Source organism: Homo sapiens, chromosome 16 (assembly GCF_000001405.40).
Source record: "Homo sapiens chromosome 16, GRCh38.p14 Primary Assembly".
Taxonomy (NCBI): Eukaryota; Metazoa; Chordata; class Mammalia; order Primates; family Hominidae; genus Homo; species Homo sapiens.
This window is the reverse complement of record NC_000016.10, coordinates 5,620,602-5,635,476: the sequence shown is the minus strand read 5'-3', so window position 1 is coordinate 5,635,476 and position 14,875 is coordinate 5,620,602. Positions and strand designations below refer to the sequence as shown.

General features: G+C 44.3%; 1 protein-coding gene and 1 non-coding gene across 5 annotated transcripts in view; both read right to left on the bottom strand.

Moving 5' to 3' along the window:
* RBFOX1 (RNA binding fox-1 homolog 1) overlaps nucleotides 1-14,875 on the bottom strand; it is a 2,473,620-nt gene that overhangs the window by 2,077,864 nt on the left and 380,881 nt on the right. The window lies entirely within an intron of this gene.
* MIR8065 (microRNA 8065) lies at nucleotides 2,911-3,010 on the bottom strand. The gene has a single exon (NR_107032.1). It is a non-coding gene; the product is annotated as a microRNA 8065 (primary transcript).

The following is a 14,875-nucleotide window of genomic DNA, read 5'->3' as shown; positions in this document are numbered from 1 at the left end:
CCCTCCAGTCCCCGGCCCTAGTTTCATTCTCTTTAACTTTCAGCTTAACTCCATGAGGAATGGAGGCCACCAGGTGTTCACAACATATGCCATTACTCTGCTGCCTAGAGAACCACATTCAGAGAGAGGGACAGGCTAGGAGGCTGCATATTCCCTCCATGCCAAAACTGTTTTGTATGATCCCTGTGTAGAATGTAAATTATTTATTCAATTTATTCAGTGAGGTCAATAGAATGAAGTAGCTTGAGACTTTTGTCAGATGGCTGACCATCAATACAAACAGATTTTCTTTTAAATGGAATGTAACTATGCAGAAAAGTCAAAAGTGAAAATGTTAAAGAAAGATGAGGAGGAGCAGTGTAGTTCAGTGATACACTGTATTAGTTCCCATTTGGGGCTGGCTAGCATATTTCCCCTCCATCTCTTTTATTTTAGTAATAGACTCTGAGACTGCCTGACCCTGATCACATGACCCAGTCTTGACCAATCATGGTGACTCTCCTCCCCTGTACACAGTAATTGGTATAGGGGAAGGTGCATGATCTAAGGAGAGCCAATCAGAATCCGTCCTGGAATAGACATATAAACACTTGTGAGTAAAAAGATTCTCTTTTTTATGATGTTGCCAAATATGAGGTTAGAAAGCCAAAGAGCTGATGGTAATTTCCCCCACCATTTATGCCATCTGGACAGAATCTGTCTGCAGAAGGAAGTCAGCCAGAAATGAAAGAGAAATGGAGAGAATACGCTGGTGGGCCCTGACTCCTGGCTCCCCATCCCAATTTGCTGCCTCCTGCAACTCTTCTTTGACTCCGAGTGATCTATGATCCTTCCTCTCTGACCAATAACTTTCCTTCAGCTTAAATGATCTGAAATAGTTTCTGTCACTGAAACCATCCTGACTTACACTGGCTCAATTCCAGAAGGGATAGATATGTATCCTTAATCACACTTAGGTATTTGAAAAAAAAATATGTTTAGCATTTTGTACAAGTTCTTTAATTTTGTTTACTCCCTTTGCAATTTAAAATGATTAATTAGCTTAAATGAGTAAGTGTCCAATTACAGTTAAATTGTCCCTATTTTTGTCTCAATTACATTTGAGACCACTGCTTTTTATCACTTGTATCAGTACTTTAATTTGCTTGTTTTCCACTCTGTATAAAGTATGGAGAAAGTGAAAATAAATAGTCAAATGATTGCACTACCGTTGCTGTAAGGACAAGACTTCAGGCTTTGCCAGTACTGAACCAGTAGCTGTCAGGTATATCAAATTTGCAATACCCAAAATGTTAATTTGCCAACTGATGTACACAAGTCTGAATTTGCTATGTGCAAAGAAGTGAGGCCAGTGGCTATAAAAGGTAAAGGGTAAGGATCATTTGGAAGTTGGACCTCAGAAACTGCAACTAATGACGCTTATTTGAGTCTGTGTCCTCTAGATGGCAGTAGAGGAAACACCATTACACTCAAGGTGGGCTTGCTAACAGCTCACAATTGGCCTTCAAATGGGCATCGTGATAATTAGGGATGTTGAGCATTTTTTCGTATGTTTGTTGGGTGTCTGTATATCTTCTTTTGAGAACTGTCTATGTATTTCCTTTGTCTACTTTTTTTTTTTTTTAAGACGGAGTCTCACTCTATCGCCCAGGCTGGAGGACAGTGGCCTCCGCCTCCTGGGTTCTAGCCATTCTCCTGCCTCAGCCTCCTGAGCAGCTGCGATTACAGGCATGCACCACGACGCCCGGCTAATTTTTGTATTTTTAGAAGAGACGGAGTTTCACGATGTTGGCCAGGCTGACCTCAAACTCCCCACCTCAGGTGAGCCACCCACCTCGACCTCCCAAAGTGCTGGGATTACAGGCGTGAGCCACCACACCCAGCCCTTTACCCACTTTTTGATGGGATTATTTCTTTTATTCTTGTTGATTTGAGTTCCTTGTAGATTCTGGATGTCAGTCTTTTGTCGGATACACAGTTTGTGAATATTTTCTAAAAGACTACATATTGGGTAGAGAGTCGTTGCTCCAGTGATGAGTGCAACAAAATCTCAGAAATCACCACTAAAGAGCTCATCCATGTAATGAAAAACCACCTGTAACCCTAAAACTATTGAAAGTTTTTTTACAAAAAGAGCACCTATGCTTTGGAATGAGAAAAGAAACCAGAAGTGTGTGGTTCCAGGGAGAAGAGTGGGAGCTTCAAAATGTTCCAACTTGCACTGATGTAAAAGAGTTGTTGGCTGGGCGTGGTGGCTCAGACCTGTAATCCCAGCACTTTGGGAGGCCGAGGCAGCTGGATCACGAGGTCAGGAGTTCGAGACCAGCCTGGCCAATATGGCGAAATTCCGTCTCTATTAAAAATACAAAAATTAGCCGGGCATGGTGACTGGTGCCTACAGTCCCAGCTACTCAGGAGGCTGAGGCAGGAGAATCACTTGAACTTGGGAGGTAGAGGATGCAGTGAGCTGAGATCATAACACTGCATTCCAGCCCAGGTGACAGAGTGAGACTCCACCTCAAAAAAAAAAAAAAAAGGAGTTGTTAAGATTGCAAGCCCAGGAATCAGGTGACCTGGGTTGTGTTCCCAGCCCAGTTTTCTTAGCCACAGTGGAGAAAGTTACGGAAATTCTGTGTGCTGCAGTTCTCCCAGCTTATATGGAAGAGTACCTACCTCACAGGTTTGAAGGAAGGCTCATTCATGACCACTTTGTAAAGTGTTATCACAGCAGCATGTGCGGGACAGTAAGTGCTCACTAAATCACAGTGATGCGGCTGTATTAAACCTTCCCAATATGCCCTTATAGGCTCCAAAACAAAAGACAAATAAACATAGTTGGGCTAGGTGGCTCGTGGACAGGGCCTGGAGGTGAGTGCTATTTCCAGATAAATCACCGCTGATATTGTGTGTAATTACATGAAGCCAAAATTCAACTGTTCCTACAAGACATCAAAGCCCTTGCCTTGCTGAAAAATACAACAACAACAAAAATGATGGCTCTCATGTACTGAGCTGTCACTATGCTATGCACTTTTCATCTGCTTAATTTGATTCTCACCACAACATACAGGGTAGCTATTAGCATCTCCATCTTAAGGGGGTCAAATAACGTTGACCAGGAAACAGCTACAAGAGGTAAAAGGGCTTGCCCAAGGGACACAGAGATTGATGTGGGTTGGGAACCCAGCAGGTGTAACTCCCATATTCATCCTTACTCTCGTTCATCAGACTGTGGCTAGTTGTCTCATGACATCGTCTCTAATACAGAATAATAATTATTTTTAGTATACTGAATGCATACATGTGATAGGTACCATATGAAGTAGCTTACCTGCATCCTGTGTCCTTTGTGAAGAGGCCTCTTCTGGGCACACACAGATGCCCTTCCTCTGGTACCTCTGTGCCCTCCTTGGCTTCCTAGCTTAAGTAGGACTGGAAAAGAAAGCTCAGACATCCAATCCTCCTGTGAGATCTTTAGACGGAAGCTTATAGAGAGCAAACAGGTGGAGGCTTAACCTTTCTTTCCTACTTGGGGATGCCATTTCTACTGTCTCCACTCTATCATTCACCTGACCCTAGTGAACACCCCAGTGTCCATCCCAGAAAATGATCCTACAATGGGAGCTGCCTTTGGCCAAATTTTGACTTTGTAAGAGAAAAGCTCATCTAGACAATGCTCAACTTCCTTTCACCAGACTCTGGACACTTCATTGAATAAATACTCAGTAAGCACCTCCTAAGAGCCAAAACTCAATACTAAGTACAAAAAATGAGGGTAGGGGAAGGCAATGATCAAGTAGCTTCCGTTCTAGGAGGTGGGAAACATGAATGCAGAAGGGCAAAGGAGTCTGCAATAAATTACCTAAAACTGAAGTCAAAATGTAATGGATACATAGAAGAGACACTTTTTTTTTTTTTTTAAATATGGAGTCTCGGTCTGTCACCAGGCTGGAGTGCAGTGGTGCGATCTCGGCTCACTGCAACCTCCGCCTCCTTGGTTCAAGAGATTCTCCTGCCTCAGCCTCCCGAGTAGCTGGGACTACAAGCACCCGCCACCATACCCGGCTAATTTTTGTATTTTTAATAGAGATGGAGTTTTGCCATATTGGCCAGGCTGGTCTTGAACTCCTGACCTCGTGATCCACCTGCCTCGGCTTCCCAAAATGCTGGGATTACAGGCGTAAGCCACCACGCCTGCCCGAAGAGAGACTTTTAAATGTGCATGAGGATTGGAGAGAGCCTCTAAGACCCTGACCAGTAACATCAGCCACCAACATCATCATCATCAACCTCATCACCTTCATCAGAGCAAATTCCGACATACTCAATGACCGGTTGAGTTTTCTTTGCTTTGCTTTAGATTGTTTCAAATGTAGATGCAGCACCTCTGAGTGCCAACAGTCACGTTTTGGGGACTGGTTTGGCCATCTGTTGTGGACAACCTCTAGATACAAGTGCGACCCTTCCAAGGGGAATCACTTCACCACTCCCACTTTCCCTTTCTTAAATGTCAAATGTTGCCATTCTGCAGCTGTTTTGGAATAGATGGAGAAAATAACATCAGAAACCAACTAAAAAAAACATATTTGGTCATTAAACATCAGCAAACTAAAACATGTAAAGTTCAAGTTGCTCCCCTCTGAAATGACTTCCTCATCCACACACTCTATCTCCCTCATTGCCTTTTTTCCAACAATTGAAGTCCAAGGCGAGAGTTAGAGCCTGGCCCTCCAGATACTGCCTGGGTATGAATGACAAGCCCACGTCCATCAGGATAGAAAAAGAATAAGAAGCCGGCTTGGCTTCTCTCTGGGAAACGCTGGTTGATGAGGGCACTGCCACCAATCAATGGAAACTTCAGTCCTTTCCATCAAGAGTATCATGAAAGCCACCCGCCAGTGCTCTGAAGGTCCTGACGTGGCCTGCAGGCAGAGATTGAAGAACTTTTGTAATCAGATGGTGGGGCACATCTGATGTCTAAGGTCCCAAAGTTTTCTCCTTTTTTTCTTTCTTTTTTTTCGAGACAGAGTCTTACTCTGTCACCCAGGCTGGAGTGCAATAGCGTGGTCTTGGCTCACTGCAAACTCCACCTCCCGGGTTCAAACGATTCTCCTCCCTCAGCCTCCTGAGTAGCTGGGATTACAGACATGTGCCACAATGCCTGGCTAATTTTTGTATTTTTAGTAGACACAGGGTTTCACCATGTTGCCCAGGCTGGTCTCGAACTCCTGACCTCAGGTGATCCACTCACTTTGACCTCCCAAAGTCCTGGGATTACAGGCATGAGCCACTACACCCAGCTAAAGTGCCTATGCTTCCTCCTTGATCTCTACTCCTGCAGAAGGCACCATACCTCTGTGCCTCTGAGCCTCAAATGACTTTTGAGAAGTGGATAAAGATAGGTGGAAAGAAACAGAGAATCCTGATATGTATCTGCATTGATCTCCTGCAAAGAGCACCTCCCAGGACATAGAGAGATCCTATCCCCAACCAAATAACAGCAGTCACCAGGCACGGAGCTCTCCTGTGAGATGAGCACTTGATCAACATCAGCTAACTGACTCCTCCCTACAACACCCTAAGATGGGTACTTTCCTACTCAAGAAGACATAAAGTGGGCTTCAAGGCCAGAATTTCACTCCAGTGCTAATGGACTCCAAACCTACCCTCTTAGCCATTTGGCTCTGTTGCTTCCAACTGAACAGAAAGCACTCACCACTGACGTCAGGTCCTTCGGCTGAAATACAAGAGTTGGAGAAACACAACCTTAAGCTGAAAGGAAGGGAGGTAAGCACATAAAAAGCCAAGGCTCAGAGCAACTATTATCATACCAAGACCCCAAGCAGGCACCACGGACAAGATCTCTTGTGGAAACCAGAAGGCATTGGTCCTAAGCTAAAGCAGCTTCTCAGGTATTATTCTGACATTAGACTCCATTCTTCCTTTGCTACTGAGTTATCCAGTAGTTAAATGGTCCATGAAGCCCTCTTTGGGCAGTGGCTTTGGGTCCATGAGGACCACAGGGTCCCCTACAAACTGGTAGCCAATGTCCTGAAGACACAAAGGATTTATACCACTGGCAGTCCTGGTTGACCACGGCAGAGCTGTGTGGGTTTATAGCTGGGTCTGCTCTTGTTAGCTGCTGTATCCATTCTGAGCGACTAGCACCTGAGCCCTAAATGTTGTTAAATATTGAACATCATACTGGTACATCCTTAGAAGATGGAGGAGTAGGGATAGAGGGAAGGTATTCTAGAATCACTTCTGCTTTGAATTTACATTCTGTGAGTTGAATTCAGGTTGCTTATCCAGCCCTGTACTCTCAATATGTTCTAAGTGGAAAATGAAGAGTAAAATAGCTTCTTCTTTTTACAGCATCACTTTTTTTCTTTTCTCTTGATTGCTTACTGCTGCTCTGGTGCATTTGTTTGCCCTACGATGGGTGCTTGGGGCCTGGATGGCATCATTAGAAAGACATTTAATCGCACTCACAGTTTACTCTGTTGACATTTGGCATCAGCCATAACTTGCTATCCACACAAAGCTACAAGATTCCCTGGTACATGATCTGACTTAGGACTAACGTCTTAGGACTTAGCTTAGGTCAGATGCTACAGCACTCATCATAGCCCATGTAGAATAGGACAGACAAGGGTGCCATGAGATCTCCCTTCAGCCATAAGGATGCTCAAATTTGATATTTCTTGGGGATATAAAATCCTGCCCTTGGAACTTGGCAGGTGAAAAGCAAGAGACTGCTATGTCAACCCTGGCTTGATATCAAGGACTGTAATAGCAAGGCTTCTTCCATCATTTATCCCAGCAGCTGTCTCAGCTGTGGGTTCTTGGGGTATCTTCGCTCTTATTGCAGATGAAGACAGAGCAATAACTCTAGGACAGTTCAGCAGTTCAGACTTTATGTTTGAGTTGTTTCCTAGAGCCCAAATACTACTTGGCTGACCTAAAGCGTTCTTCCCCTAACCCAGATCCTAGAAACCTAAACAAACACAGCATGATCACTATGGTGATCACTATGGTTATATCAGTTATCCCCAAAACTCAGAGCTCCTTTTGACTGAGCTTTCAATGGAGAATGTGCCCAGGATACAGAGGGTCCAATAAAAAGAAGCAATAAAAAAGAAAAGAAAAAGAAAAAGAATTTAGTCTGTGATAATTGGTATCACAGGTAGGATCACCATTTGCATGGTAGAAGAGACTTCAATTCTTGGATTCTTTCAACTCCCAAGTCCTCAACTCAAACACTGGGCTGCAATGTATTTCTCAATAGACTATCTGATATAAGGGTATCTACCCAATGCCAGACACTAAACTGTGAGCCAGCACCAAAACTCTAACTGTACAACATTTTTACTAATTGGGGTGGGGTGGGCAGAGACAGACCATCACCCTTATACTACTTTACTTAATATTCAAAATATAAGGAATTCCTCTCTCTGATGGCAGAAGAGGCCTGACAATACCTAAGGCTATAAGAATGCCTCTAAATGCTGCTTTGGCCTCTTCTCACCAGTTTTAATTAGGCACAATCATTTCTCCATATCCATGAGGGATTTGTTCCAGGACCCCCCTTGTGGATACTAAAATCCATGAATGCTCAACCCCCTTATATGAAATGGTGCAGTATTTGCATAGAACCTATGCTTAGCCTCCTGTATAGTTTAAATCATCTTTGATTACTTATAATATTCAATACAATGTAAATGCTATGTAAATAGTTGTTATACTGTATTTTTTATTTGTATTATTTTTACTGTTTCTTTTATTTTTCAACCTTCAGTTGGTTGAATCTGTGGATACAGAGGGGCAACTGTACTTCTACTTTGGGGTATCAATCCCCTTCTTAGTTTGTTGTTATTTATAAGGTTGTTGCTTATTTATTATAAAGTTGTCGCTTCTCTACTGAAGGTTTGAGATTTTTTAATATAAAAACCCTAAATTATTCATTTTGTAATCTATTGCTTTGTACTCAAAGCAATAGCATTTTCTATCCTTTACAAATGATTATTTTCCCCCTTTGGGACACACACACACACACACCCCAAGATCACTATGGTTAAAAGGCAAAATTGCTGAATGTGGGATACACAATTTGGTTTCTGTTTTACAATTCTACCAGACTGTTTCATTCATTACCTTTTGTTCTATTTATTTATTTACTAAGTCTGACACACCAATAACATGAGAAAATCTTGAAGAGAAGATGGTAATTTGGTGCCACTACATGGGATATGATAGAATCATTTTCAGCTCAAATTATTTAAAATTACAGAGCCATGAAGCTGAACTTACCCAAATAATTTCTAATGGTGGATTTTTTCAGCATCTTAATTTAAGTAAAAAGAAAAAGTTTAAATAGATTTGAGGGCTTAAATACTTCTGAGGAAAGCAGCAACTGCAAAGCCGGGATGTCTAATTCACATAAAAGTAATTAACAAAAAGTGAGTTAGATCATTATTTCCTCCAAGATCATAATTTAAAAGGAAGCTGATTTATCTGAACTGACTGGGGCTTTCAATCCCAACAGAAATGTAGATGTTCAGTTGTTAAGGGGAGAACAGAAATGAGACCCAATTAAGCAAAATTCTTTCTTATAGAAAAAAAAATGATTTGGATAAAACGATTGCTCAAATGTGCTCAGAAGGGCACCAAGGAAAGCAAGAGAGTTGAGCTTTTTTTTTTAAAACCCTGGTTGAACCTTCAGTCCCAGTCACAAGATCTATCACCAGAAAGTAAGGAAACTCATTCCTCCCAAAGCACGGGAGTATAACCAGTTGTCTAGAACTGATGAATATCGGAGCTCGTGTCAACATTTGACACCTTATTCCCATGGCGGGAGAAGAGGCTGAAAACAAAGGATTTTGGAGAGGAAGGAACAGGGGTATTCCAGGATCTTTTTGGTTAGGGTCCACTACGGGCTGAACTGTGTTCCGCCAGAATTCATATGTTAAAGTCCTAACCGCCAGGAGCTCAGAATGTGACTGCTATCAAGGACAGGGTCTTGAAAGACAGGTAATTAAGTGACAGTGAGGTTATTAGAGTGAGTCCCAGTCCAACCTGACTGGTGTCCTCCTAAGATGAGAAGATTAAAATACAGACACACACAGACACAGAAAGCCTACATGAAGACACAGGGAGAAGACGGTCATCCACAAGCCAAGGAGGGAGGCTGCAGAAGAAACCAACCCTGCCAACACCTTGATCTCTGACTGCTTGCCTCCAGAACTCTGAGCCATCCTTCCTCCAGAGGATAAGTTGGAGGACACAAAATATTAAAGAGGTCAGGTGTGGTGGCTCACGCCTGTAATCCCAGCACTTTGGGAGGCCGAGGCGGGCAGATCACCCGAGGTCAGGAGCTCGAGACCAGCCTGACCAACATGGAGAAACCCGTCTGTACTAAAAAGAAAATACAAAATTAGCCAGGCGTGGTGGCACATGCCTGTAATCCCAGCTACATGGGAGGCTGAGGCAGGAGAATAGTTTGAACCCAGGAGGCGGAGGGTGCAGTGAGCTGAGATTGTGCCATTGAACTCTAGCCTGGGCAACAAGAGTGAAACTCCATCTCAAAAAAATAAAATAAGATATTAAAGAGTAAATCCAGGGCTGGACACGGTGGCTCACACCTGTAATCCCAGTACTTTGGGAGGCTGAGGCAGACAGATCACCTGAGGTCAGGAGTTTGAAACCAGCCTGGCCAAAATGATGAAACCCTGTCTCTACCAAAAATACAAAAATTTGCTGAGCATGGTGGTGGGCACCTGTAGTCCCAGCTACTCAGGAGGCTGAGGAAGGAGAATCACTTGAACCCAGGAGGCGGAGGTTGCAGTAAGCCAAGATTGCACCACCATACTCGAGCCGGGGTGACAGAGCAAAACTCCATCTCGAAAATAAATAAATAAATAAATAAATAAGTAAATAAATAACAAAAAATATTAAAAGAGTAAATCCAAACTCCTCCGCAAAACTTGACTGGTTATGAAGAACGGTGCAGCGGTCAGGCACACCAGTGAGTTCAAATCCCGACCAGACTCCTGAGGAGCTGTGTGACCCATGGCCACGTTCTTGACCTCTCTGTGCCCCAGTCTCTTCATCTGAGAACTGCAGTGAGCATCAGAGTGGAGCAGCCCCTGACAGCTGGGGACCACCCTCAGAGACTCCATTGCATCATTCATTCAACAAATGCTTCCTACGCCCCTACCACGCCCAGGTCCTGCTACAGATCCTAGGGATACAGAAAAAAAAATATCCTGCCCTGTTCTGGGGGGCTCATCTTCCAGTAAAGCCTAGCCAATGACAATACTAAGTGCACTTTGGTAAGAAAGAGAAAGATGGCTCACATGCAAAATGGTAACGCTGGGTCCATTTCATTGCATTCTGTGCAATGTCCCTGAATCCCATTTTAAATAGAATCCAGAGCCGCCTATGGAGGGTGACTGCTGGTATCTCTCGTGCCAGGCTCTCTGGCCCGAGAGTCACCCTCAATCACACGGCCCCAAATCCGGGTGGGGTCCCTACAGACCGTGCATTTTGCTGTTTGGCACCAGATAAACCTATTGGGCAGTTTCCAAGTGGTCAAACAGCCCCTCTCATCTCCCAGAGCCATTCAGCAAGCAGCTTTCTCTGTCCCCCCATCCTGCCATAAGAGCTCTGTGATGCCACCTGGCACTCAGCATATGAGCTTCCTGAAGGGTCCCTGAGGCAAGCTCAAAGACCTGTCACCCCGCATTGGTGGCTGTGTCCAAGCCAGCTAGCCTGATGCATATGCATTGCAGTAGCTGAGAGCGCCCTTCAGCTAGTGGCTGGCAGTCGGAATCCATTAGCCAGACACAATCACAGACACTGTCCTTGTGCCTCCCAGGTGGGGGATGAGGAACATGAACCTGTGCTTTAGAAATCCCAGGAACTCAGGGGGTTCTCAGGAGCTTTTCCCCACCTGGGTACGAGCTTTAAAAGTCTCTGGGTGGCTGGGCGCGATGGCTCACGCCTGTGATCCCAGAACTTTGGGAGGCCGAGGCGGGCGGATCACGAGGTCAGGAGATCCAGACCATCCTGGCTAACACGGTGAAACCCTGTCTCTACTAAAAATAAGAAAAAAAATTAGTTGGGCACGGTAGTAGGTGCCTGTAGTCCCAGCTGCTTGGGAGGCTGAGGCAGGAGAATGGTGTGAACCCAGAAGGTAGAGCTTGCAGTGAGCCTAGATCACACCACTGCACTCTAGCCTGGGCGACAGAGCGAGACTCCGTCTCAAAAAGAGTCTCTGGGTAGCAGGAGAGTCACTAAAAGGCCTTATTTTTAGGGACTCTTTGAAACCTTCGAGTATTAAAAGTGACCTAAAATGTTCTCCTTTGCTTTTCCAAATCCCCAAACTCTTTAATCCCTTATTTGCTCTTCTGTAAAATGGGGTGGACACCATCTGCCCTGCTCTTCTCAGTTCTGTAAGGATCAAATCAAATAGTCTGCAAAAGCCTTGGTATGGGATTTCTTTGGGGGATGATGGAAATGTTCTAAAGTTGATTGTGCTGATGTTGGCACAACTCTGTGAATAATAAAAAACCACTGAATCGTATGCTCTAAATGGGTGAATTGTACTGTATATGAATGATATCTCAATAGAGCCGTTTTTCCAAAAGCCTTTATAAACAGTGAAGGATTCTTGCCATCTGAGGACTTCAACTCTCAACCAGATTGAGAGGGAGAGATGGGGGAGAAAAAGAGCAGGAGAGACACAGGGAGGGAAGGACAAAGAAAACAAATGAGAGAGAAAAAGGGAAGGAGGTAGGGAGAAGAGAGAGAGACATTACAAGCAGCTGGGGGAAGGGGTAACCAGTGTAGCGGGAACAAAAGAAGGCACCGGTGAGAATTTATCAGAGGCTTTAAGAAAGCAGTTGGGACCATGTGGTCCTCCGGCCACCTGCACCTGTACCATGTAGGGTGTAGGTAAAGATGCAGAAAAGTCTTCATGGGCCTGTCCAGCACTTAGCATGGCCATGCATGTTTGTTTGGTGATTATGAGTGTTCTCCCACTAGAACAGAAACTCGCTGAGAGTAGAGACTTTCTCTGTTTTGTTTTGTTCAGTGCAGTACATCACTGACTGTGGAAGGGCCCAGGAAAATGCATTTTGAGGAACTGCCTAGGTGATTCTTACACACCCTTCAGTTTGAGGACCCCTGCCCTAAGAAATCCACTAGAGTCCTGTCCACTGGGAAACGGAAAACAGTCACCCCATAAGATGTACCACACCCCTTCTCTTCTCAGGCCAACACCATAATGCCCCCATGAGACTGCTCACTTCACTGGTGGCTTTCTTTAGACTAAGCCAGGGATTGGCCAGTTTCTCTGAAATGGCCAGACAGCACAGTCATCCCTTGGTGTTCATGAGGGGTTGGTTCCAAGACTCCCCCGTATACCAAAACCCATGAATGTTCAAGTCTCATACAAAGCGGCATAGTATTTGCATATAACCTACAGACATCCTCCCATATACTTCAAACTGTCTATAGATTACCTGTAATAGCCAATACAACGTAAGTGCCATGTAAAGAGTTGTTATACTGTGTTGTTTAGGAAACAATAAGAAAACAAACTCTGCACATGTTGGGTTCAGACGCAGCCATCGTACACGTAAGGATATTTTTGAATCGAGGTTGGTTGAATCCACAGATGCAAAACCCCCAGATATGGAGGGCCAACAGTAAACATTCTTGGCTTTGAGGGCCACACAGTCTCCCTTGCAACTATTCAGCTCTGATATTGTAGCAGGAAAGCCACAATACATAAATGAACAGGTGTGGCTGTGTTCCAATAAAACTTTATTTAAAACCCACAGGCATCGGGCCGGATTTGGCCTATGGGCTGAAGTTTGCCAACCCTTGGTCTAAGCAAATAAATGGATTTTTTAAAAAGTACCACTAGAGAAAAGGACAAGAGTCAACTTCTAAAAATTCCACAGGCATGAACGAAGATCTCCGATGACCTAACTCTGTAATTCAATGGATTTGTTTATTCATCCAGCAATTATTTACCAAGGGCTTACTACGCCAGGTACTGAGTAGAGGGCAGTGCACAAGACTCCTTACCCCATGGAACCTACATTCTGGTGGAAAAGACAGACACTAAACATAACTAATTAATTATGCATAATTAATGTCCCACCATTTTGAGAAGCATGACAAACAGAAGATATAACAAGCCAAAGCAGCCTAACATCTCAAACTTGGAGCTTTGGCATCATAATTACTGTCAAAACACTGTTTTTGATAACTAGAGCCTAGCAGGTACACTGTAGATTGTGGATCATCGATGCCAAGTGGAATTGGTTGCTGAGAACGTTGGGGAAAATGTGATTCATGTATGGTTTTAATGAAGAACACATTTTTCAGGAATAAGAGAACAATGCTTCTGGCAAAGTTTCAGATAACCCAGATAATTCCATTTCCCCATAGCCATGTTTACTTTTGACACGTGGCCAAGGTCTGTGTTGTTACAAGAACCTCATTCTTCCCAGGAGATGCTGGGCCAGTGGCTTTTGGCAGCTGCTTGGAGCACTGAAAGATGTTTTCCTGGTATGGACATCATCACTACTACCCCTAAGCATTGAAACACGAAGGCTTGGGTGCAAAAATATGTACCTGGATAGATACACATTTGCACCAAATCCAAATACAGTACCCACATGATGGTTTCACTGCCCTTTTGGAGTTAATGACTCCATTCTTAATAAGGGTGGGGCAACATCTTTTGCCTGGAGAGAATCCTCACCATCCTGGTATTTTCCATATCCTCGTCTTCCTAAATCATTCCATGACACAGTGAGTTGATAGGGGTTTAAGAATTAATCTTCACTTATAGTATTTTCCGTAGGGGAAGTCAGCACTGAATCCCGCTGATGCCTACATCCCACCTTCTATGTAAACCCTCCTGCCCTCCCTCCCTCCATTTCCTCAATTCATCCGTGGTTGATAGGTCAACCATCATCAATGACTGACAGCGGTATCTACTTCACAGAGCATTGTCAAGACGACACAAATTAAATAACATGCAAAGCACTTTTGACGGCCTACACTGGGTGCATCCAAAATTCACTTGTGGAAATCATGACCCCCAGCAACTCAGAATGTGAGACATATTTGTGAGACCTATTTGGAGACAGGTCTTTAAAAAGGTTAATTCAGCTGAAAGGAAAGCCAGGCATGGTGGCTCATGCCTGTTATCCCAGTACTTTGGGAGGTTGAGGTGGGAAGATCCCATGAGCCGAAGAGTTTGAGACCAGCCGGGAAACACAGGAAAACCCCATTTCTACAAAAAATAAAAATTAGCAGGCTGGGCGCATTGGCTCAACGCCTGTAATCCCAGCACTTTGGGAGGCCAAGGCAGGCGGATCACGAGGTCAGGACATCAAGACCATCCTGGCCAACATGGTGAAACCTCGCCTCTACTGATAATACAAAAAATTAGCTGGGCGTGGTGGCGAGCGTCTATAGTCCCAGCTACTTGGGAGGCTGAGGCAGGAGAATGGCAGGAACCCGGGAGGCGGAACTTGCAGTGAGCCGAGATCACACTCCTGCACTCCAGCCTGGGGGACAGAGCAACTCTGTCTCAAAAAAATACAAATAAAAATTGAGTGTAGTGGCACATGCCTGTGGTCCCGGCTACTCAAGCAGCTGAGGTGGGAGGATCACTTGAGCCCAGGAAGTCAAGGCTGCAGCAAGCCATGATCCTGCCACTGCTCTCTGGCCTGGGAGACAGAGTGAGACCCTATCTCTACCAAAAAAATAAATGAGTAAATAAAATGAGATTAGGGTGGCCCTAATCCAACAAGACTGTTGTTCTTATGGGAAGAGGTGAGGATACTGACAC